At 37.8% G+C, this 25,047-nt stretch overlaps 1 protein-coding gene, 1 long non-coding RNA gene and 1 pseudogene across 36 annotated transcripts in view; 2 read left to right on the top strand and 1 right to left on the bottom strand.

Moving 5' to 3' along the window:
- The window catches only part of SHLD2 (shieldin complex subunit 2), a 96,993-nt gene that overhangs the window by 17,087 nt on the left and 54,859 nt on the right, over nt 1–25,047 (bottom strand). For 10 of the 34 annotated variants that reach the window (XM_047425372.1, XM_047425373.1, XM_047425376.1 and 7 more), the window contains 4 exons: nt 21,500–23,029; nt 16,224–16,331; nt 3,707–3,901; nt 3,405–3,539 (listed from right to left, as the gene is read on the bottom strand). In XM_047425372.1, the coding sequence (XP_047281328.1) occupies nt 3,405–3,539; nt 3,707–3,901; nt 16,224–16,331; nt 21,500–23,024 (1,963 nt within the window). In that variant the 5' untranslated portion in view covers nt 23,025–23,029. The other 24 variants (XM_047425379.1, XM_047425380.1, NM_001377168.1 and 21 more) reach the window with 9 other exon arrangements.
- Nucleotides 1,707–16,199, top strand: LOC124902475 (uncharacterized). 2 transcript variants are annotated; one of them, XR_007062222.1, is made up of 3 exons: nt 1,707–2,690; nt 4,841–4,907; nt 5,469–16,199. It is a non-coding gene; the product is annotated as an uncharacterized LOC124902475 (long non-coding RNA). The 2 variants fall into 2 exon arrangements; XR_007062223.1 differs by lacking the exon at nt 1,707–2,690 and adding an exon at nt 3,091–3,132 and having other exon boundaries at nt 5,469–5,614.
- On the top strand, nt 20,010–20,338 carry RN7SL733P (RNA, 7SL, cytoplasmic 733, pseudogene; annotated as a pseudogene).

The raw sequence follows: 25,047 nt of genomic DNA, 5'->3' as shown, positions 1-25,047 counted from the left end.
TCAACACCCTAAATAAGCAGTTAACATTTTAGCGGACAACCAGTTGTTTGGGATTTTATTTATTGGGATTGACTTAATAAGTCAAATATAGTTTTATATGTATGTATTATTCTACATTGCTTTTAAATATTACATAATATGCCATTGTCCAGATACACCAAAATCTTAAAAATTATTACAGCAAACCTCTATTTTGAGGGACTCTGGTTGTTTTTTATTTTTCACAATTATACATGATACCATGATAAACCCATTTTCAGCTACATCTTTATACATAGTTATGATAAGTTCCTATAGCTAAAATTATTGGGCTAAAAGTACCCCCAATTTGTTCATATTAATTGTCAGTTATCCTCAAGAAAGGTTCTGCCAGTTTGCATTTCCAATAGCTGATGACAGTAGCTGTTTTCCCATATCTTCTCTATCAATTTCTTAAAAGAAAAATCATCTATCATCATTACTTTGTGTGTTTTCAATTACTTGTAAGAACAATTTTTCCATATATTTATTGGCCATTTTTATTTCTTCTTTGGGGACTTGCCTACTCATATCCTTTCCCCATTTATCTCTATAGATATGTGTCTTTTGCTTACTGCATTATTTTCTGACAATGTAATTTTTTTTCTGTTTTTTTTTGGTTGCCTTTCAATTTTGTACATGGTGGTTTTTATGTATAATAGTTTTTGTTCCTGGATTTTATTTACCCTACCAACCTTTGCATTACAAATAATTTTGCCTATATTTTCTTCTACTATTCATTGTTTCATTATTTTTGTATTTGAATCTCTAATGTATCTGAAATTTATATTGGCACAAACATAAAGTATAAATTTAATTCTATTTTTTCTCACATTGTTAGCTAGATTTTCCAAACATTAACTATTCTTTTATTTTAAAAAGCATAAGGTTTTAATTTTATTTTTAATTATAAAATAAAATATATTTATTGTGAAATATTTAAACAGTAAAGACAAGGGAGGTAACAGGTGAAACAAGACTGACCATGTTTTAATAAGCTGGCTAATAGGTACCTAAGTTCATTATGCTGGCCGGGTGCGGTGGCTGGCTCATGCCTATAATCCCAGCACTTTGGGAGGCTGAGGCGGGTGAATCACCTGAGATCAGGAGTTCGAGACCAGCCTGGCCAACATGGTGAAACCTCGTCTCTACTAAAAATACAAAAATAAGCTGGGCATGACGGCACATGCCTGTAATTCCACTTACTTGGGAGGCTGAGGCAGGAGAATAACTTGAGGAGGTTGCAGTGAGCAGAGATCATGCCACTACATTCCAGCCTGGGTGACAAGAATGAAACTCTGTCTCAAAAAAAAAAAAAAAAAGTGCCTTATGCTTAGTATTCTCTCTGCTTTTATATATGCTTGAAGGCTTTTATAATAGAAGTTTTTAAAAGTAAATGCAGATGCTCACACACATATGAAATTCAAACTAAAGGTATAAAGAAAAAATTAAAGCACATATAATACTACCATACAGAAATAACCACTGCTAGCATTTTGCTATACATGCATATTTCCAGGTTTTCAAATGCACATATGTACTTATAGATACATTTTTATTAAAATGAGATACTATTATATATAAAGGGTTTTCTTGAAAATTTTTATGTATTAACTTATATAAACATAAAAATATTTATTATATGATAACATATTTTCTATACGTGAAGTTTTACAATCCAATTTTTTTTTATTTTTTATTTTTTTTAAGATGAGAACTTGAACTCCTGGGCTCAAGCAATCCACCCACCTCAGCCTCCCAAGGTACTGGGTTAACAGGAGTGAGCCACCACACCTGGCCTATAATCTACTTTTTAAACTAAATAATACATTACATATATCTTTCTAAGCTAATGAACATACACATTTTTGGTAGTGAATATCTTTATGTATTCACCCAGATCACAAATGACTCCCTTAACTGTTTTCCCATCCACTGAAATAAGCTCAAGCTCTCATATTTGTATTGTGTGACCTTGTCTTCCTGATCACAGTTTTTTGAATCAAATTTACTCTGGGCAATCAGATTCTCTTTGCTGGGAATTTGGAAATGGGGTTGGTCTCTTGAAAAGAAAAGTAAAATCAGGAAAATAGAATTACTTAAGTAATCCTTCAAAATTGGGATTTTTATCTTAAAAAGACTGATGTGAGGTATTGAAGTAGATGTTAAAACTTTAAAATGATGGTTATAAATAAGGGGGGCTGGATGAATGAATGTACAAAGAACAACAACATCTTAATTCCTGGATTCATATGTTTTCAATACTAACCTAAACACCATAGAATCACCTAGAGACAACTGTAATTTCTCTTCTATTAACCAAAAAACTATTAATTTTAAAAGAATATTCACATTAAACATGGAGCAATCTGCTTTGTTACGGCTCCACTATACCTGTGACCTACATTCTTGTGTAGCATGCACTAGACTCATGTTCTCAGCCAGGCTATGGTGGTCAATGATCATAGTTAGTCTATCACTGATACATGTTTGTCAGCTTGCTCAACCAAACAAACATCTGTCCCTGTTTGATCTTAACATAAAAGTCCAAAGTTAGACTTATCTCAAATCCTAGTCATAGCTATTAATGATTAAGAGAGACAATGTGATAGCTCCTATCTACAAATAACTATTTGGAAGGCAGAAGTTTGGAGAGACATTAACTCTTTCAGGTAAAAAATAATAATATACTGAATCAATCTCTAAATTAATTTAGCAGGGAAAAATAACTCATAAGCCACAAATGAAACTGTCTTTGTTACAACTAAAGGATCTCACAATAGCAAAGGGAAGACACTATACTATTTTAATGAAACATCAATTCCATTTAATTCAATATACCAGAAATAATTTATGCTTTAAAGAAAAATGTAATCATGGGTCATATTTTAACACTGAACATTCTAGGGATGGCTAACAGTGCATGCTTTTAAAACAACTATAATAAAAATATGAAACAGTAATTTATTGAACATTAATTGTGACTTGAAAGAGTTAAGGTAACTCCCTTGACATCTGCCTTATAACCATAGCATTTATCAGAGTACTCTGGCTGAAAAAAAATTGTAGAAGCTTCTCCAGAATTAAATGTTTAAAGAACATTATTTGAAGGAGGTAAGATCTTCACTAAAAGGGTAAAGTAGTATACCTGGGAATAAATTTAAGACTTTATTTCACCACCATTAATTAATGAAGACTTATTAGATAAATGAATTGCTACAAGAGGTACAAAATTTTAACAGAAGAAATTTGCAGAAGAATATTCAATCATGATCACTTGTATTTCAAATGCTGTCTCGTCTCTTAAGATTTTCTCCATCTTGGGCTCATAAACATTAATCATTTACCGAAATATAAATAGGTTAAATGCTTTTTGGTGTATTTACCTTTTTTCCTTTGAAGTTGAGGGTACCAGGCTGCTCCAGGACCCCATAATACAAGCGCATAATGTTGATCTTGGGCCTGTTCCACTGTTAACATAACTTTTTTCTGCTTCTGTCCTCTATAACTGTATACTGCCTCTGGAAAAGGAAAATGAGTACCTTAGTTGGCATTACTCTATCACACGTGATACCATACTTTAATAGCTGATGATACATATATAGTGATAACCAAATGGTACACTAAGATGGTCTTGTATCTTAATTTTTTCATAATCTAAAATTAAGGAGGCAGTCAAAATATTTACCTGTCAGTATAGTGAAATCAACAACTCTTAGTACTGCGTGGACTAATACATCAGGTTGAAGGTGCTCCAATTCTACAAAGTCTATACTGTTCACCCTCTGAGGCTGCCTCGGAGGAAGATCTCTGAGGTAGGAATGTTTTGAGGACACATATGCCAGTAAGTCTTGAAGTACAACTTCACTAACTACACTGGAATCTAAGGGAAAAAAAACATACAGACAGACAAAAGATGGCAACATTATATTTTTCTTCACAAATAATATTTTTTAGAACTGTATTTTATGTTGTAAAGTATGATTAGATATAAAATATAGTTTTGCTTTCTCTAAAACATGTACAATAGCTAAGTCTTGAATCAGTTTAGATGTAAAAACAAACTTGATATTTTTAATCAATGGAAATGGAATTATTTACTATCCCCAAAAAACTTGTGCTGTTCCCATACTTCTTTACTTTGTTAATAATATCATTTTCTATCAATTAACCAAACAGAAAATTTCTGTTCTTTTTTGACTCCACCACCCTGTAACAGCCAATTGGTTCCCCAGTCCCTGGAGTCTGATTTGATCCTGCTTTCCCAACTATCCTATCCTCTGCCGTTCTTCCTCAAGCCCCTTCTGAAACAGGCTCAGAGCCACCTCACTGGTTCTCTCCCTGAGTGTGCCTTACTCTTTCCACAGCGAGGCCTCCGTCCTCACCAATTTCCAGCTGCAAGGCTGTCTTGTCCTACCCAATACCACATAGAATGATTACCACTATAGATTCACAGTGCTGCTTTGTTCCCTGAGCTCAGAGAGCTTTTGAGCACGTGCTACATTGTAATATTTTTCAAGTGTTGGATTGGTTATTTAATTCTTCAGTTACTATGTCCTTTAAATGTTTTTCTCTTTCCTGTCTCATTTTTTTTCTCACTTTTTATTAAGGTATAGTTTCTGTACAATAACATGCATATATTTTAAATGTACAGGCTGATGAGTTTTGCTGATTAAATTTTAATTTCTCTGAAGGTAAGACAAGTATGCTTGAGTACGTGATTGATTGCTGACCAAAATAAGATATTGGCAATAAACACTTAAGTACTTTTTAGAAAGCAGACTCCATAAACTGATTTGTGTTTCTTCTTTCCTTCCTTTAGACAGTAAAAGAAAAGGGATGTAACAGGTGAAACAAGACTGACCATGTTTTAATAAGCTGGCTAATAGGTACTTAAGTTCATTATGCTTTGTATTCTCTACTTTTGTATATGTTTGAAGGCTTTTACAATAAAAGTTTTTAAAAGTAAATGCAGATGCTCACACACACATAAAATTCAAACTAAAGTTACAAAGAAAAAATTAAAACCACACGTAATACTACCAGACTGAGTTCTTCTTTCACAGTATTTCCAGCAAATCTGGAATCAGAAGAGTTGTATTCAAATTCTGGTTTTGTCAATAATAAGCTCTGTGAACTTGTACATAACTTCTCTGGGCTTCGTTTTTCATGAACAAGATAGAGCTTTTGGGGAACAAAAACATCTCTAACATCAAATTATATATTTGTCCCTGATTCATAAAAATTTACATGGAAACACATGGTTATTTAGATTCCAAAAAAAGTCTACCTCATGGAAACATTGTGTTGATCTTTGACTTATATATTTAATAATATTCAAGATAAATTTATATTCCTGTCACATTATCAGAACTAGGTTTGTAAAACATGTAACACCTCACTATAAAGATGAAAGAACAGAAGTCTTTTCTTTTCAACTTTTACTTTAGATTCGGGTGTACATGTGCAGGTCTGTTACCTGGGAATACTGCGTGATACTGAACTTTGGGGTACAAGTGATCCTGTCACCCAGGTACTGAGCACAGTACCCAACAGGTAGTTTTTCAACCCTCTCCCTCTAGTAGTCCCCAGTGTGTATTGTTGCCACCTCTATGTCCATGAGTAGCCAGTGTTTAGCTCCCACTTATAAGTGAGAATACATGTTATTTGGTTTCCTGTTCCTCCCTCAATTCACTTAGGATAATTGCCTCCAACTGCATCTGTGTTGCTGCAATTTATTTATTTATTTATTTATTTTTTTTGAGACAAGGTGTCACTCTATTGCCCAGGCTGGAATGCAGTGGCACAATCTCAGCTCACTGTAAACTCCACCTCCTGGGCTCAGGTGATCCTCCCACTTCAGCCTCCCAAATAGCTGGGGCCACAGGTGTGCACCACCACACCTAGCTAATTTTTTTGTATTTTTTGTAGAGACAGGGTTTTGCCACCTTGCTCAGGCTGGTCTCAAACTCCTGGACTCAAGCAATCTGCCTGCCTCAGCCTGTCAAAGTGTGGGAATTACAGGCATGAGCCACTGCACCATCCTGATTTCATTCCTTTTTATGGCTGCGTAGAATTCCATGGTGTATATGTACCACATTTTCTTTATTCAATCCTCCACTGATGGCCACCTAGGTTGATTGCATGACTTTGCTACTGTGAATAGTGCTACAATGAATATTCAAGTGCTTATGTCTTTTTGGTAGAACAATTTGTTTTCTTTTGGATATATACCTAGTAATGGGATTGCTGGGTCAAATCATAGTTCAGTTTTAACTTCTTTGAGAAAACCCCAAACTGTTTTCAACAGCGGCTGAACTAATTTACATTCGCACCAACAGTGTATGAGCATTTCCTTTTCTACACAGCCTACCAACATCTGTCGTTTTTTGACTTTTTAATAATAGTTGTTCTGGGGCTGGGAGTGGTGGCTCACACATGTAATTCCAGCACTTTGGGAGGCTAAGACAAGAGGATCACTGGAGCTCAGGAATTCAAGGCCAGCTTGGGCAACATGACAAAACCTGGTCTCTACAAAAAATACAAAAATTAGCTGGGCATGGGGGCATGCACCTGTAGTCCCAGCTACTCAGGAGGCTGAGGTAGAAGAATCTCTTGAGCCTGGGAGACTGAGGCTGCAGTGAGCCATGATCAGGCCACTGCACTCCAGCCTGGGTAACAGAGTGAGATCCTGTCTCTAAAAAATAAATTTTAAAAAAGTATTATTAGGTCCCACTTTTCAATTTTTGGTTTTGTTGCAATTGCTCGAGGGCTTCATCATAATTATTTCCCAGAAGTCCTTTCCAAAAACACAATATATTGATCAGAAATAAGAATCCTCTCATGAGTTGTAACCACTTGCAAAATCAAAACCAAATTGGTAAAATGAGTAACCAAATTGGTTTACTCTTTCAGAAGAAAAACAACTGCAATATTCTCAAAATGTCCACTGGTAGCCATTTCCCTACATCAATAAAAAACTTTAGAATATACTTTATTTAGCTACTAACCTGTAAAAAATAAAGCACCATAAATTCCTGTGTATGTGTAAAAACAAAGATTGTGAAGTAACTTCTAAAGATTATCTAATTAGTTCAAGATTTTTCACATAATTCTACAAAAACCTGAAACTCTCTAGGGGATTCATAGAATATTCTCCATCCAGAATTTTGTCATAAGAGTTTTATGAAATTACTGAACTATTACTTGAATCTAGATCATCCTTAAAACCAGAGATATCTACATTTCCCAAATCTCTTGCAAAGCATTTGCATACCATGTTATTTTCATTATTTCAAAACATTCCTTCCCCTTCTATTCTATCAACATATACAAGATATGCTGAATTTTACTTAGAAGCCATTTAGCTATCATTTATACACACACACACACACACACACACACACACACTTTCCAAAATGTAACACCTTCAAATATACATAATAAAAGACTAAACTTGTATCTTTTACAGAAATCTCAAAATTAAAATTTAACTGACTTCAACTGGGCAAAACCACACCATCTCAGTTACTATAGGTTCATACTAAGTCTTGATAGCTGATAGGGCAAATTATTCTTCCCTGCTTTTCTTCTTAAAATGCCCTGCTGTTTTCAACCACTTACTCTTCTACATAAATATCATATAATCTTATCAAATTACATGAAAATCTTATTGGTCTTGAACTCTTTGCCTCAAGAGATCCTCCTACCTTGGCCTCCCAAAGTGCTGGCATTACAGGCATGAGCCACTGAGCCCTTGAAATCTTACGAGGATTTTTATTGAACATGCACTGAATTTACAAATCAACTTGAAAAGAACTGAAATCTTCACAATGTTAAATCTTCCAATCAATGAATAAAGTATATGTTTATTTCATTCTTTGTTAGTTTTTCTTCATTTAAAAATTTTTCCTTTTTTAGGTCTTGCACATACTTTGTTACATTTATTACTATTAGTACAAAATAATATTATTGTCAATGGCAGCTTCCTTTGTTATTGTTAGTCACTCTAGAAATGTGATTGACTTTTGTATGTTAATCTTATATCCAGCTCCTTTGCTAAATTTTCACATTATTTCTAATAATTTGTTTGTAGTTTTCAGAGGGAAAAGGTATGTAAACCATCTATAATAATGGCAGTTTTATTTCTACCTTTCCAATCTTTACATATCTATTTTTCCATGTTTATTGCACTGGTTAATAACTCTAATACGGTGTTGAAGAAAAGTAGTAATAGTAGTATCCTAGTCATATTCCTGAATTTTAAAAGGAATGCTTCTAATATTTTTCCAATTAGGATGATAATTGTTCTGGGTTTTCTAAAGACACTCTTTATGAAGTTAAGGAAAATTTTATTCTATTCCTAATGAACAAGTGTTGAATTTTATCAAAAGCTTTCTTTGTACCTATTGAGATGATCGTATACAGCTTTTTTAAAAACTCTGTTTTGAACTAACGTAAGACTTACAAAAAAGTTGCAAAAATAGTACAGAGTTACCTTATATTCCTCACTATGTCGACTAATGTGGGCATCTCACATATTATAAATTATCTTAAACAGGAAACTAATGTTAATTAAATATTGTTAAATAAAATGTAGATGTTATTTAAATTTTATCAATTCTCCTATTAATATCCTTTTTCTATGTAGGATTTCATCCAAGATCCCACCTCATATTTAGTTGTTATTTCTCTTTGGTCTCCTCTAGTCTATAAGAGTTTCTCAGTCTTTTCTTTTTCATTACCTTGACACTTATGAAGAATCCTGATCAATTATTTAGTAGAACGTCCTTCCCTTTGGGTTTCTCCAGTGTTTTATGATTGGAATGAAGTTATGCATTTTTGGCAATTCCACAAAAAATATGGTGGATCCTTCTCAATGGATAATATCAAAGCATTTATGATACCATACATCTTATTACTGGTGATATTTATCCCAATCACTCAGTTAACTTGGTGTCTGAAGAGTTTTCTTATAAATTTATTATTTTCCCTCTAGTATGCTGGTATCTTGGGGAGATACTTTGAGACTATGCAATGCTCTCTCTCCTCAAACTTTCACCTACTAATTTTAGCATCTATCAGTGCATTTGTGTCAGTGCAGTATTTATTATTGTGATCTCTGCCTGATGGTAATTCTCTATTTTTGTGTTTTGTATTTTTTTTTTTTTCCTTGAGACAGAGTCTCACTCTGTTGCCCGGGCTGAAGTGCAGTGGCATGATCACAGCTCACTGCAGCCTCAACCTCCTGGGATCAATCTATCCTCCCACCTCAGCCTCCCGAATAGCTGGGACTATAGGGACACACCTCCAAACCTGGTTAATTTTTCTATTTTTTGTAGAGACGGGGTTTTGCCATGTTGCCCAGGCTGGTCTCGAACTCCTGGGCTCAAGCCATCCACCTGCCTCAGCCTCCCAAAGTGCTGGGATTATAGGCATGAACCACTGAGCATGGCCAGTAATTCTCTATTTTTTTTTCTTTTCTCTCAGATTTATTAATTGGAATTCCATTGGAAGGAAGAGCTCTCTCTTCCCCTCTGGTTAGTTAATGAAATACATATATCTTTATGTCAGTAAGGATTTGTAAAGATTTTAATCTATGGGTTCTAATCCAATACTATCATTATTTTCTTACTCAAATTGCTTCAGCTTTAGCCAGTAGGTGTTCCTTCAGGTTGGCTCTTGCATTATTTCAACATGTCTTGTCTGGCACCACTAGACTTCCAGGCTTATCCTGAATTTGCCCTGACCCAGTCCTGTAATCAACCACTTTTAGCAGAGCTGTTTCCTTTCATTAGAGAACTATGTTGGCCAGGCACAATGGCTCACACCTGTAATCCCAGCATTTTGGGAGGCCAAGATGGGTGGACTGCTGAAGCCCAGGAGTCCGAGACCAGCCAGAGCAACATGGTGAAATCCAGTCTCTACAAGAAATACAAAAATTAGCCAGGCGTGGTAGTGCACAGCTATGGTACCGGCTACTTGGAAGGCTGAAGTGGGAGGCTGGCTTGAGCCCAGGAGGCAGAAGTTGGAGTAAGCCGAGATCACACCACTGTACTCTAGACTGGGCAACAGAGCCAGACCCTGTCTCAAAAAAAAAGAGAGGCCAGGCACAGTGGCTCACACCTGCAATCTCAGCACTTTGGGAGGCCAAAGTGGGCAGATCACCTGAGGTTAGGAGTTCAAGACCAGCCTGGCCAACATGGTGAAACCCCATCTCTACTAAAAATACAAAAATTATCTGGGCGTGGTGGCACGTACCTGTAGTCCCAGCTACTTGGGAGGCTGAAGCAGGAGAATTGCTCGAACCCAGGAGGCAGAGGTTGCAGTGAGCTAAGATCACGCCACTGCACTCCAGCCTGGGTGACAGAACAAGAGTCCATCTCAAAAAAAAAAAAAAGAAAAGAAAAGAAAAGAAAAGAAAATGTTTACAGATGAAGATCTGGGCACCAGGTATGCTCATTATTACTGGGGAGTAACTGCATCTGTGCTGTGCTCGCTCAATGGACAGAACTAGGAGATGTTTATGTATGTGTACTATCCCACCCATATACACATGCCTATATTTCTGTATCCATTTATCTATATTAAAAATCCTCAGTTTATAACAATACCTCTGGTTCGTTTTAACCTTCCCTTGTTTATAATTTCTTTCTCCAACAGTGAGAAATCCAGCTTTCCTTATCTACAATCTATGTACTCATTTGTTCATTCTAGTATGTACATAAGGTTATTGCTAAGCCATTCCCCTTTGAGAAACATATTTCTAACTAGATTGCAGCATTTATGTACAGTCCTTTCTGTCATTAGCCTTATAGAATCCAGTCAATATACTCTTTTCCACAGCTACTTAGGTTTGTTCTTTTCTTCCCCACCCGCTTCTGTGTAGTTATTTTATTCATTTGTAACAATATTAGGTTCACTTGTAACAATATTACATTCATTTGTTAGTGTCACTTCCTCCTGACCCCTGCTATCCTGTTCCCATTCCCCACTTTCTTCCACCCCTCTCCTATGTGCCCCCTGTAGGTGACCAATCTCTTTAGTTTCTGGTTTATCCTTCCTGCATTTTCTTTCCACAAATAAACCGAGGTATTTTCTTATACCTCCATTCCTTCGTACAGGAAGGACAGCATACTACATACAGTTTTGGGGGGTTTATGTTTTCACATAACAGTATGTCCTGGGAATCACTCCATATCAGTTCATAGAGATCTTTTTCATTCTTTTTGTACAGCTGCATAGTACATAGTGTTCCACTATGTGAATGTAGCATAACTTAGTGAATCATTCTCCTATATATTTTGCAATTATAAACAATACTGCAATGAATAACCTTGTGATATGTATTTTCATATTGTTGGAGGTGTAGCTTCAGGGTAGATTCCTAGAAGTGGGATTGCTAGGTTGAAAGCTAAGTACATATGTAATTTTGTTAGATATTGCCAAATATCCCTTCACAAGGGTTGTAGCAATTTGCATTCCTACCACCAATGTATTAAGAGGGCACATTACCTCACAGTTGCGCCAACAGAATGTGCTTTTTTTTAATTTTGCCAATCTGATAGGTGAGAAATGGTATCTCCATGTAGTTTTAATTTGAATTTCTCTAATAAGTTATATTTGATAGCCATTTTTATATCTTTTTTTGAAAACTGACTGTTCATCTCTTTTTCACATTTTCCCTTTTGCCAGGCTAGAGTGCAGTGGCATGAATACAGCTCACTGCAGCCTCGACCTCCTGGGCTCAAACAATCCTCCTGCCTCAGCCTCCAACGTAGCTGGGACCATAGGCATGCACCACCACACCGGGCTGATTTTTTGACTTTTTGTAGAGACAGGGTCTCACTATGTTGCCCAGGCTGGACTCAAACTCCTGAGCTCAAGTGATTCTCCCACCTCAGCTTTCCAAAATGCTATGATTACCAGTGTGAACAACCACACCCAGCCTTTGTCACTCAGGGTTTAAAAGTTCTTTATATATTAGGGATATTAGCCTTTTGTTGTATGTTACAAATATTTTCTCCAAGTTTGTCAGTTGTCTTTTGACTTTGTTTATAGTGTTTTGGTTATGCAAAATTTATTTTTCTATAGTAAAATGTATCAGTTTATCTTCTACTGCCCCTGGATTCTGAGTAATATTAAGAAAAAGCCTTTCCCTACACCAAGATTACAGAGGATTCATTCAGGTTTCTTTCTTGTTGTTGCATGATTTTATTTTTTACATTTAGACTATTAATCCATATGGTGTTTATTACTGTTTGTTGTGAGATATGTGTCCAATTTTCCCTTTTTTCCAAATGGCTACCCAGTTGTCTCAGCACCATTTATTAAGAAGTTAGCTTTTATCTCACTGATTCCAGATACTATCTTTGTCATATATTAAATTGCTATATGTAGGTGGGTCTAATTCTAATCTTCTTACTCTGTTCCACTGGTCTACTTGTCTATTCATGCATCAGTACTTCACTGTTTTAATTACAGAGGCTTTATAGTATGTTTTAACATCTGGTAAAGCTAGTTCCCCTCCTCTGTAGTTTTCCTTTGTCAGTCTTTTCCTAGCTATTCTTGCATGTCTGTTTTCCCCTATGAGCTTTAGTATCAACTTTTATATGCCATAACATATATATTTTCATTGGAACTACATTGAATTTACATATTAACTTAGGAAGAACTGACATCATTATAATGTTGAGTCATCCTATCCAAGAACAGGGAATGTCTTTCCATTTCTTCATGTCTTCATTTCTTTCTGGAGTGTTTAAATTTTTTCCTCATATAGGCTTTGCATATTTCTTGTTAACTGTATTTTGAACTATCTTCTTTATTACTATAGTAAATGAGTTTTTCACTATCATTATGCCCTCTGTTTATTATTTGTGTATATTAAGTCTAATTACTATTATTATTTTTTTTTGAGACAGGGCCTTGCTCTGTTGCCCAGGCTGGAGTACAGTGGTGCAATCACAGCTCACTGCAACCTCATCCCCCAGCCTGGGCTCAAGCAATCCTTTTACCTCAGCCTCCCAAACAGCTGGGACCACAGGTGGGTGCCACCACACCCAGCTTTTTTTTCTTTTTCTTTTTCTTTTTTGTAGCCCAGGCTGGTCTTGAATTCCTGGGCTCAAGCTGTCCACCCACTTTCATCTCCCAAAGGGCTAGAATTACAGACGCAAACCACTGCACTCAGCCTAATGATATTTTTTAACACTAATTTTGCATTCTGTTATATCACTGAATTATCTTATTATTTAAATTTGTTTTAACTTTGATTCCCTGGAGTTTTCAGGTATGTTATCAGAGCATTTGTAAATAGAAATAATTTTCATTCTTCTTTATCCATTCAAATGCCTCTTCTTTCTTTTTTTTTTTTTGGAGACCGAATCTCACTCTGTCGCTCAGGCTGCAGTGCAGTGTAGTGGTGCTCACTGCAACCTCCACCTCCCAGGTTCAGGCAATTCTCATGCCTCAGCCTCCTGAGTAGCTGGGACCACAGGCATGCACCACCACACCTGGCTAATTTTTCATCTTTTTAGTACAGACAGGGTTTTGCTATGTTGGCCAGGCTGGTCCCAAACTCCTGGCCTCAAGTGATCCGCCCACCTTGGCCTCCCAAAGTGCTGGGATTACAGGCGTGAGCCACCGCACCAGACCAGATGCCTCTTCTTGTCTAAGTGCATTAGCTGATAATTCTAGTATAAGATGAATAGTTGCAGAGATAGTGGACATCCTTATCTTTTTCCTGGTTTTAATGACAATGCCTCGAGTGCTTTTCTATTAAATAAGACATTGGCATTAGGACTAAGTATCTATTTTATTGATATAGTATTAATCATATTATAATGCTGTATTGATGCTATATTTATTTAAGAAAAAAAATTTTTTTGAGACAAGGTCTGACTCCGGTCACCCAGGCTGAAGTGCTGTGGTACAATCATGGCTCACTGCAGCCTCAACTTTCTTTCCCACTTAAGCCTCCCTAGTAGCTGTAACTACAGGTGTGCACCACTACACCTGGCTAATTTTTCCGTATTTTTAGTAGAGATGAGGTTTCACCATATCATCCAGGCTGGTGTCGAGCTCCTGGGCCCAAGTAATCCTCCTGCCTCAGCCACCCAAAGTGCTGGGATTACAGGCATAAGCCACTGTGCCAGGCTGATACTATATTTATTGATACTGAAAGGGAAAGTATCCTAGTATATTACTAGTTAACAGTATTATACAAACGTTGATTTCCTGTTGTTGATATTGTACTAAAGTTATATAAGATATCACCATTGGGAGAAGCTAGAAGAAGAGTTCATGGGACTTTATGTATTATTTTTGCAATCCCCTGTGATTCTATAATTATACAGATATTTATTATTTAAAAAACTTTTAAATTTGAAATATTATCTGTATGCTAATAACTCTAAAATTTGCCTCTTAATTTTAAACCTGTCTTCTGAGTCCTGAACTTTGTTTCCAGTTCTTATATGACATTTCCACTTGAATATCTCAAAGATATCTAAAACTTAACATGCCTTGAAACATAGTCCTTTTCCCCACAAACCAGTTCCCTCTCAGTCTTTCCCAATAAAGGCTACCTAGTTACTTAAACCAGTAATTCAGTAGCAGTAGATTGTCCCTCTTCCCTGATCCCCAGACCCACATCATCAGAAAATCCTATTAACTCTATTTACAAATATATCTCAGCTCTTTAGCTCCACTGGCCTCCCATTATCTCTCAACTGCAGCTATTGTAACAACTTCCTAACCCTGATTCTACTCCATGATCAATCCTTCTCAACTAGAACCACGGCATTCTGTATCTTAACCCTTTGTTAGTTTCCTTCATAGCACTCATTATCACCTGCACATATTTTACTTATATGTCTGTTTCATTCATTTTTTTTGGTCTGTCTTCCACATGAGAACATAAGCTCCAGGAGGACAGGCACCATTGTACCCCCAGTGTACAGTAAACACAGTGCCTGAAACAATGTCAACACATAATAAATATATATTGGATAGATGAAGAACTCTATTTTAGTTGTCTATGAAATATGTCAGAGTTGGTTTTCTGCTGATGGGCCACCCTAGTATATAATGAAACCTTGCCCATTCCAAACACAGTTCTTGTTATTCTAATTGTTGCTCTTCCCTTCTACTTGCTCTGCCTTTCTTTAAGAATTCAAAGATTGGAATTCCATGCTCTATCTTCCATATATATATCCTATAACTTTCCTATTATTCCAGTTATCTTCTTGTATAATCAGTATATTTCTCTAGCTATTTTCTTGTATGATATTTCAGCATTTTATCAAATATATTTTGCTAGCTTATTATTTCTCCCTCTAATATTACTATGTTACTACTACATTATGTGCAGGTTCAACATCTTATATTCATTTTCTCACTTAATCTTCATAACAACCCTATAAGGTATATATGTATTTTTATCTCCATTTCACAGAAAAGGAGACAAAAGTATAGTGAAGTGAAATACATTGCCTAAAGACAAAGACTGGAAGTAAGAGGGCCAGTATTCAAATCCTGGTCTATCTGAGTCCAGTGACCATAACCACAAGTTTATACTGTTTCCCTTACTTTGTTTTCTTTCTTTTTTTTATGTTATTTTATTTCCTAGAGGAGGAGATAGCTGCTAGTTTCCTCATTAAACAGCTTCTTTTAAAGAAGAGAAAACTGGACATTAAAGAAGAAAGATAGCTTTTCTTAGCAGTGGTAGACAGGAGAATAAGGATTCAAACCACAGCTGTCTGAATACGAGACCAATACATTTTTATTACCTCAAGGATTCTTAATCAGAGGCTCAGAAGTTCCACAGAAGAACTTCAGAGGTCCGTGGAATGCTTTAGAATTATAAGCAAAATTTTGTGCCTATCTACATAAGTCCAGTTTTCTGGAGAAATGGTCTATAGATTCTCAAAGAGGTCTCTGACTCCCTAAAAGGTGAAGAACCACCACTATACTGATGGCCTAAGAAAACGAAACATGAGACCCAATACTTCTTAAAATAAATGTGATTTACAATGTACAAGTTCATTTCTTAAAATTCTATTTTCATTCTTACTAATGAAAAGAAACCAATACTCTCCAACTGTTTAGAAAACATTTTGTAAAAGAACCATTTTAACCCTAATCTTTCCTAGTATGTTTTTATACTTTAAACACTACTACATTACTTCATTTAAAATGTGCCTTACATTCTTCAGGCTGAATAGATGAATAACTCCCAAGATTTAATAACTGACTGCTAAATGTTGATTGTAGTACTGTCTCGCCAATCCATTGGTCCTCATGAATAACAACATCTAGAGAGAGAAAAAACGTTCTGATCATGCCATAAATTCCTTCACAATGTGGTTAACCTACTAGTCACAACAAAATACTATGCATGCCTCCCATATACCAAGCAAGTAGAGATCAAATAGGTTAAATAACCTGCCTAAAGGCACGAAATAAGAAAACAGCAAATCTAAAATCTAAATCTAGGTAAATTAACAAAATTGCTTCTTTATATTCAAATGATAGCAGTATGGAAGTCCACTGCTCTATATAAAAAAGGCTTAATAGTTTTTATTTACATAAGGAAAATGTTATCATGTATATTTCTGATACATTAAAAATAATTTTTTTTAGGACCAGAAGGCAAAGTAGTGGTTCCAAAGCCGTAGTGCCTAGGAGAGTAATAATATTCAGTATGCACTGGTCCCTTCTACTATAAATATATCTGAATATAAGGCATTCTTAACACACTTGATTATTTTTCCCTAAATAGCACTATAATTATCTTCCACATAAGTTAAAAGTGAAAGACTTTGGAGGTAGGGAACATTTTCCAATTGGAAAGAGAGAGCTGTATATCTAAGACGGATAGAGTAGAATCAGGTAGAACTAAACATACCAACAGGTAGAAACAATTGTAGGTAGAGCAAAACGTGTGAGCTGTAAAGAGAAAGAGGGGAAGGGAGCTATCTCTAAGGCAGGATCTAATCAGCATACAGTGTCAGAGGTATAAACATATATTAACAATAGTGAAATAATGTAGAGATAATAGGAAAGAAAACCAAGGATGTATAAATTCCAAGTGATTACTTACAGATTTAGATTCCAGACCCTTTCCTCAGCTTTTGAACCTTTTACCTACAACTGCCTAATGGAAATTCCCACCTGGATATTCCATTGGCTCCCCAAACTCAGCAATGTCCAAACCTGCTTTTCCTTTCATAGCGCCCAACTCATTTGTTGACGCTATGCTGCTAATCAAGTAAACTAACATCTGAAGTCATCTTGCCTCTCCCTTCCCACTCCTTGCCACCAGCCCCCACCTACCCCTCTGCTGCTTAAATGTGCCCATGCCCCACCACTACTACTGTTTTACATTACACATTCCTTTCCCTCCCAACAGGTGCTTGTCCCGCCTGCAACCCATTTCTTACAATGCTAATGAGTCATTCATCAGAGCATTAATGAGTTCAGGCGAGTGATATATCAGAGCATTAATGAGTTCAGGTGACTTACTAAAAAACAGTGGTTCCCCACTGCCTAGCCAGGAAGAGCTAGTACAGCATTCAAGACTTTTCATGATCCAACATTCAGGATGCATGTTCTTCAGAAAAAAGGAACAGACGAGAAATTTCAAGGAGAGCATTCTGAAAGCTAGGACTGTGAAGCATATGTTGGATTAGTGACATGGTAATCACTAGTGGTGCATGGAGGGGATGGGTAGCCCGCCCTGGCCTCCTGGCTCCTTCCTACCCTCTCACTGACATGCCCCAGCTCCTAGTCCTTATTCTGTTTGTCCTTTAAACACTGTTGTTTCCCAATGTTAAGCCTCCCATCTTCTTCTAATTCTAGTCAGTAGTCTCCCTTAGGTAATCCTTATTTTTGGCATCTCTTCATTCTATTGCTAGAAGTTATAATAGCAAACTGTCTGCTGTGTTGGTATTCAACAAGGTCTGGAATACATCTGTTACTTAAAATTTTTCAGTTTGGGCCGGGCGCGATGGCTCACGCCTGTAATCCCAGAACTTTGGGAGGCCGAGGTGGGCAGATCACAAGGTCAGGAGTTCGAGACCAGCCCGGCCAATATGGTGAAACCCTGTCTCTACTAAAAATACAAAAATTAGTCAGGCGTGGTGGCGGGCTCCTGTAGTCCCAGCTACTTGGGAGGCTGAGGCAGGAGAATCACTTGAACCCAGGAGGCAGAGGTTGCAGTGAGCCGAGATCGCGCCACTGCACTCCAGCCTGGGCAACAGAGCAAGACTCCATCTCAAAAAAAAAAAAAAAAAGGAAGATTTCTGTTTGGGGGTATATATCAATAGGTAGTATGAACTACCCAGGCTATCCAACTAAGTTCACTGCCTCATTAGGACAACAGAAAAGTGTAGATTTCTTTTTTTTCCCAACATTTCCATCTGTTCCACACAAAAGAAACTTATTCAGAAATAAGTGAACTAGGTCCTCTTTTTCTTAAAAAGACAAAAAAATCTGATTTTTAAAAAAAATGTTCATAGAAATCATCTAAATGTCTTATAATAGGAAAATGGTTAAGTAAATTGCATTTCAGCCACCAGAGAGAATGTTACCTCGTTGTTAACAACTATAGAGATGTTAGGAAAAAATACAGAGATTGCAGAGTTGAGTTTACACCTACCTAGGAAAAAGGAAAAGGCCCCTGAGAGGTCCCTGCTGACATTAATTGCCTCGGTAAAATGACCATGGTCCAGGATCCAGCCCTCTTTTACAGTCTGGGAAACTTAATTTTGTTAACACTCCAAAACTAGATTTCAGCTCTGCAACATAAGCTCATACTAAATCAACTAATGAAACAAATTAAAGAAAAAAAAATTTTTTTTTCATTTACAATGAGGCATTAATTGCCCAAAAAAACAGTATTTCAGCCTGTTCTCATGCTGTGGGCAGCTCTACAACTAGAAAGCCAAATCACAAGCAAAGAGGTATTCAGCAAGCACTGAATCAGAACAGAGGGAGTTAGGTGAATTGAATCTCCAATAATATAATCACATATAAATAATATTAGCTAATACTGCCAGTGGGATGTGGCTATGCTAAGCCTGTTCATTACAATCTTGTGTTTACCTCTTTATAAAAGATTGTACTCGGCCGGGTGCGGTGGCTCACGCCTGTAATCCCAGCACTTTGGGAGGCTGAGGCGGGCGGATCACGAGGTGAGGATATCGAGACCATCCTGGCTAACACAGTGAAACCCTGTCTCTACTAAAAATACAAAAAAATTAGCCGCGCGCGGTGGCAGGCGCCTGTAGTCCCAGCTATTCAGGAGGCTGAGGCAGGAAAATGGCGTGAACCCGGGAGGCGGAGCTTGCAGTGAGCAGACATCGCGCCCCTGCACTCCAGCCTGGGTGCCAGAGCCAGACTCCGTCTCAAAAAAACAAAAAAGATTGTACTTGACAATCCTACAGGAACACCAAGGTACATTAGCTAAGGTTCTCATTCCTCCTGTAAACTATTTGGTAGGATTATCAATATTGCTTCGAAGTTTTCTTCTTCTAAATACCTCCTCTGTATCACATTCTTTCTTTAGATATTTTATTAAGCTTAATCAACTTCCTCCTGCTCTAATACACCATGTGTCAATTTTAAATCAACAAAGAACATGTAACACAATGTTAGATGTGTTCGGTGAAAACATATTCTGGCCAGGCACGGTGGCTCACACTTGTAATCCTAGCATTTTGGGAGGACAAGGTGGGCGGATCACCTGAGGACAGGAGTTCGAAACCAGCCCGGCCAACATGGTGAAACCCCGTCTCTACTAAAAATACAAAAATTAGCCAGGCATGGTGGCTTACACCTGTAATCTCAGCTACTCGAGAGGCTGAGGCAGGAGAATCACCTGCACCCAGGAGGCGGAGGTTGCAGTGAGTCAAGATTGTGCCACTGCGCTCCAGCCTGGGTGACAGAGCAAGACTGTCTCAAAAAAAAAAAAAAAAATATTAAATATTCTCTCTGGGTGCAGCGGCATGCGTGCCTGTAGTCCTGGCTACTTGGGAGACTGAGGCAGGAGGCTCACTTGAGCCCAGGAGTTCAGAGTTGTAGCCGATCAGGTGTCTGCACTAAGCTTGCCATCAATATAGTGACCTCCTGGGAGTGGAGGACCACAGGTTCCCTAAGGAGGGGTGAACTGGTCCAGGTTGGAAACAAGGGCATGTTAAAAATACCATGGGCACGGTGGCTCACGCCTGTAATCCTAGCACTTCGGGAGGCTGCGGCAGGAGGATCAATTGAGCCCAGGAGTTGGAGATCAGCCTGGGTAATGCAGTGAGACCCTGTCCCTATTAAACAAACAAACAAAAAATTAAAAATAACAATTTAAAAATTCTCATGCTGATCAGCAATGGGATTGTGCCCGTGAGTACCCACTGCACTTGGCAACATAGCAAGACTCTGTCTCTTAAAAATAAATAAATTAAAAATTAAAAAAACAAAATGTTCTTTATGGTTACAACTATATAGTAAGAGTATAAATTCTGGAGTCTAGGAGAAACTATAGCTTTGCCACTTCCTAGATGTATGACATTGGACAAGTTACTTTACTTCTCTGGGCTTCAGCTTCCTCAACTGAAAAGTAGGGATAAAAATCAGTACCTTCCTCATATACTTGTTGTAATGAAATATGCATGTAAAATCTAAAACAGGGTCTCACAAACTAAGCTCCCAATAAATATGAGCTTCTATGTGTGATATATACACACATGCACACACATTTTAAGGAGAACAGAGAAAATAACTGGAAGGCAACACTCTAGAACTCTATTGGTGGTTATATGAAGTTGGTATAATACCAGTTTTTTCCTTTCCATATTTCCAAGTGTAATTAATATAATTTTGATAATAAGGCAATAGAAATCAATAACTGTTCCCACAGTAAAAATACAATGTGCACAGCATTATTAGACATTAGGTAAAGAAGCAGAAAGGTCTAACTCTGTTGCTCGGGCTGGAGTGCAGTGGCCCAATCAAAGCTCACTGCAGCCTCAACCTCCTGGGCTCAAGCAATCCTCTCGCGTCAGCCTCCTGGGTAGCTGGGACTACAGGCACGCAAACCTTAATTTATTTTTTGTAGAGACGGGTTCTGTGTTGCCAAGGCTGGTCTCAAATTCCTGGCCTCAAGCAATCTTCCTGCCTCAGCCTCCCAAAGTGCTGGGATTACAAGTGTGACCCACTCCACCTGACTAGGGAAGGCTTATTAAAGGAGGGGATAAGTGGAAAGAAGGGACAGAGCTGAGAAGGATAGAACAGAGGCCCAGAAGTGGCAATGGGCAGGAGAGTGGACAATGGAAAGGAGAACAATGCAGATGCGATAAAGGGATCAATTATGCTGCGCTCAGAAGAGGCAAATGACTAAAGAGTCTTCAAAGACTAAGTGGGAGAAAAACAAAAACAAACAAAACTTAGCTTTATAAAATAAGCTACCACTATACCATAATGACCTCACCTGTGAGTAAAATTATATCTCCAAGAAACACTGTAAATGCCCAAAATGCTGCAGTCCTCCACAGAAAAACCTTCTTCTTAGTTTCTGATTGATCAATTACTGTAACTGTTGCTAAAGGCACTTTAGAGCCAGAATTTGGTCCGAATTTTATGTTTATTTCCTTCACATGGCATGGAGATAGCACCATGACTAAACAATTATACTTCTGGCTTTTAGAATCACAGTTTTTTATTAATGATGTTTTTTTAATACTCTTAAATTCAGACACATTTCTCCGATCCATTTCTACAGCAGAATCTCCTCCATTAGAAATCAACTTCATTTTCTTAGCTACTTGAAGGACTCTAGATAGAGCTTCAGACTGGCCCACTTTATCTTCAGAGGTACAGCTTCTTTTAATAGCACTTTTGTGGAAGGTATTTAGTTGGGAACACAGTATTCCTGAGCTACACAACTCAATACGTATCTCATTTGGTGGCAGTTCATCTTCAGAACTGAAAAGTTCTTGAGATCCTGTATGTTCTTCAAGACCTTTATCAGAGTTTATGTGAATGCGGCTATTTTCTGTTTTAGGACAAACAGGACTAAAAAGTTCAAGGGAATATGCTTGGTTTTGTCCACTTTCATATGCTTCTGTAAAACCATCAAGCTGAATCGAATTCTCTTCAGGTATTCTTATCTCCCCGTAACTTGCCTTTGGTTCAGTCTCCATGTTTACATTCCCTTTATTTACAGGACTCCGCCTTTTATCTTTCTTTTGAGCTAAAAAAGCAACCTGGCTGGAGGTAATTATACTGAGAAATTCTGTATCAGTTGATATTTTAAGGTCTGAGACCTTCCTAACTGCTGCTTCAGACCTTGACTTATCTACTGCGTTCGAGGAAAATAATCCCAAACACTGGTTTTGTATTTCATGATATTCTGTTGGCACACACTCTCTTTGTACCACTTCAGGCCCTATATTAATTTTTTCAGTACTACAAACCAAATCCAACACAGCTGCACATTTATGGCCCAACTGAAACAAATTTGTGTTAAAGTTCTTACCACATATATCTGGCTGATGTTTAGGCTGTTCATCTCTAATTTTATTTTCACTGAGAAGCTTTTGATACTTTTCTTCTTCGGTGAAATGCGGAACTGTGCTTTTAAATCCACATATTTGCATATTAGAGCTAGTTATATCACTCAGTCTAGAGGAGTGAATCTTCTGGGATTCTATATTCTGTGTTTCAGAAACAGAACGTACAAAGTCATCTTTCACATGAACATGTCTATTCATACAGTTTGCTAAGAAATGACCACTAAGATCTGGAGAACCAATAGATTCTGGGACTTTATAGTTTTCAAGATTTTTGTGCTGTTTTTCATCCTTCAGATATAAAGAATGTTGACTGTATAAAAGCTGAATTTTTTTCCAGGGGTCAGCAACAGACATTAAAGAAGCTGTGTCTTCTGATACTGTGATTTTCAGTGGAGCAATTGGAGCACCCCAAAAAATGTGGACTTGAGATCCTCCACTCATGATTTCTGATAAAAATGAAAAATCCAAAATTAATATATTGTCAGCATATTTTTGCATATGGATATTAACTTAATAATGTACCAAAAGAAAATATAACTGAGTCAAAAACATAATTAACATAGGTGATTTTTTTGATATGCCATTTAATTATATAAAATTCATAAATACACAAGAAATTATTAAGGAGAAATCACAATATTCACAAAAATTTTTCACCTAAAGACTCACTTTAGGCCGGGCGCAGTGGCTCACACCTGTAATCCCAGCTCTTTGGGAGGCCGAGGCGGGTGGATCACGAGGTCAGGAGATTGAGACCATCCTGCCTAACAGCGTGAAACGCCGTCTATACTAAAAACAAAAAATTAGCTGGGCGTGGTAGCACACGCCTGTAGTCCCAGCCACTTGAAGGCTGAGGCAGAAGAATCGCTTGAACCCAGGAGGCGGAGGTTGCAGTGAGCCTAGATTGCACCACTGCACTCTAGCCTGGGCAACAGAGTGAGACTCCATCTCAAAAAAAGACTCTCTTTAAGGGGAATAAAGCTAAGCACACTCACATCAAACAAGTAAATAGGTTTTTAGTATGTTTGTTTCATTTGAGATGGAGTCTTGCTCTGTTGCCCAGGCTGGACTGCAGTGTTGCCATCTAGGCTCACTGCAACGTCCGCCTCCCAGGTTCAACCAATTCTCCTGCTTCAGCCCCCTGATTAGCTGGGATTACAGTCTGTGCCACCACGCCCGGCTAATTTTTGTACTTTTAGTAGAGACGGGGTTTCACCATGTCGGCCAGGCTGGTCTCAAACTCCTGACCTCAAGAAATCCACTCGCCTCTGCTTGTCAAAGTGCTGGGATTACAGGCGTGAGCCACCGCGCCTGGCCTGTTTATTTCTTATGTTGTAAAAACTTGCCCCATTTAAATAACAAGTTAGTAAAGAATGGGAAAAGAGGCATTTGTTTAACTATATTACAGTCACCTTTAAATTACTCATTTTGGGGCAGAGCACAGTGGTTCATGCCTGTAATCGCAGCACTTTGGGAGGCCAAGGGGGTGGATCACTTGAGGTCAGGAGTTCAAGACCAGCCAGGCCAAGATGGCAAAACCCCATCTCTACTAAAAATACAAAAATTAGCCAGCTGTGATGGCCCGTGCCTAAAGTCTCAGTTACTTGGGAGTCTGAGGCAAGAGAAGCGCTTGAACTCAGGAGGAGGAGGTTGCAGTGAGCCAAGATCTCGCCACTGCACTCCAGCCTGGGCGACAAAGCGAGACTCCATCTCAAAAAAAAAAAAAAAAAAAAATTACTCATTTTTGGCCAGCCATGGTGGCTCACACCGGTAATCCCAGCACTTTGGGAGGCCGAGGTGGGAGGATCACTTGAGACCAGGAGTTCGAGGCCAGCTTGGACAACATAGTAAGACCACCATCTCTACAAAAATATTTAAAAACTAAAAAATTTCTTAAAATTAGCTGGACATAGTAGTGGAACACCTATAGTCCCAGCTACTAGGGAGGCTGAGGTGGGAGGATTACTTGAGCCTGAGAGGCGGACATTGCAGTGAGCCATGATCACACCACTGCACTTCAGTCTGAGTAACAAAGTGAGACCTTTTATTTATTTATTTATTTATTTATTTAGAGACAGAGTTTTGCTCTTGTCACCCAGTCTGGAGTGCAATGACGTGATCTCAGCTCACTGCAACCTCCTGTCTCCCAGGTTCAAGCAATTCTCCTATCTCAACCTACCGAGTAGCTGAGATTACAGCCATCTACCACCACGCCCAGCTAATTTTAGTTTTTTTAGTAGAGATGGGGTGTCACCATGTTGGCCAGGCTGGTCGCAAACTCCTGACCTCAAGTGATCCACCCACCTTGGCCTCCCAAAGTGTTGGGATTACAGGTGTGAGCCACCGTGCCTGGCGAGACCCTCTCTTTAAAAAAATGATTAAGAATCACTACTATTGCTATAACTACATATTCCAACCTCATTTAATCCTCATAGAAAGAATAACCTTCATAAGGAATAACTGG

The sequence above is a fragment of the Homo sapiens genome, chromosome 10, assembly GCF_000001405.40.
Source record: "Homo sapiens chromosome 10, GRCh38.p14 Primary Assembly".
Taxonomy (NCBI): domain Eukaryota; kingdom Metazoa; phylum Chordata; class Mammalia; order Primates; family Hominidae; genus Homo; species Homo sapiens.
This window is presented reverse-complemented; position numbering and strand designations above follow the sequence as displayed.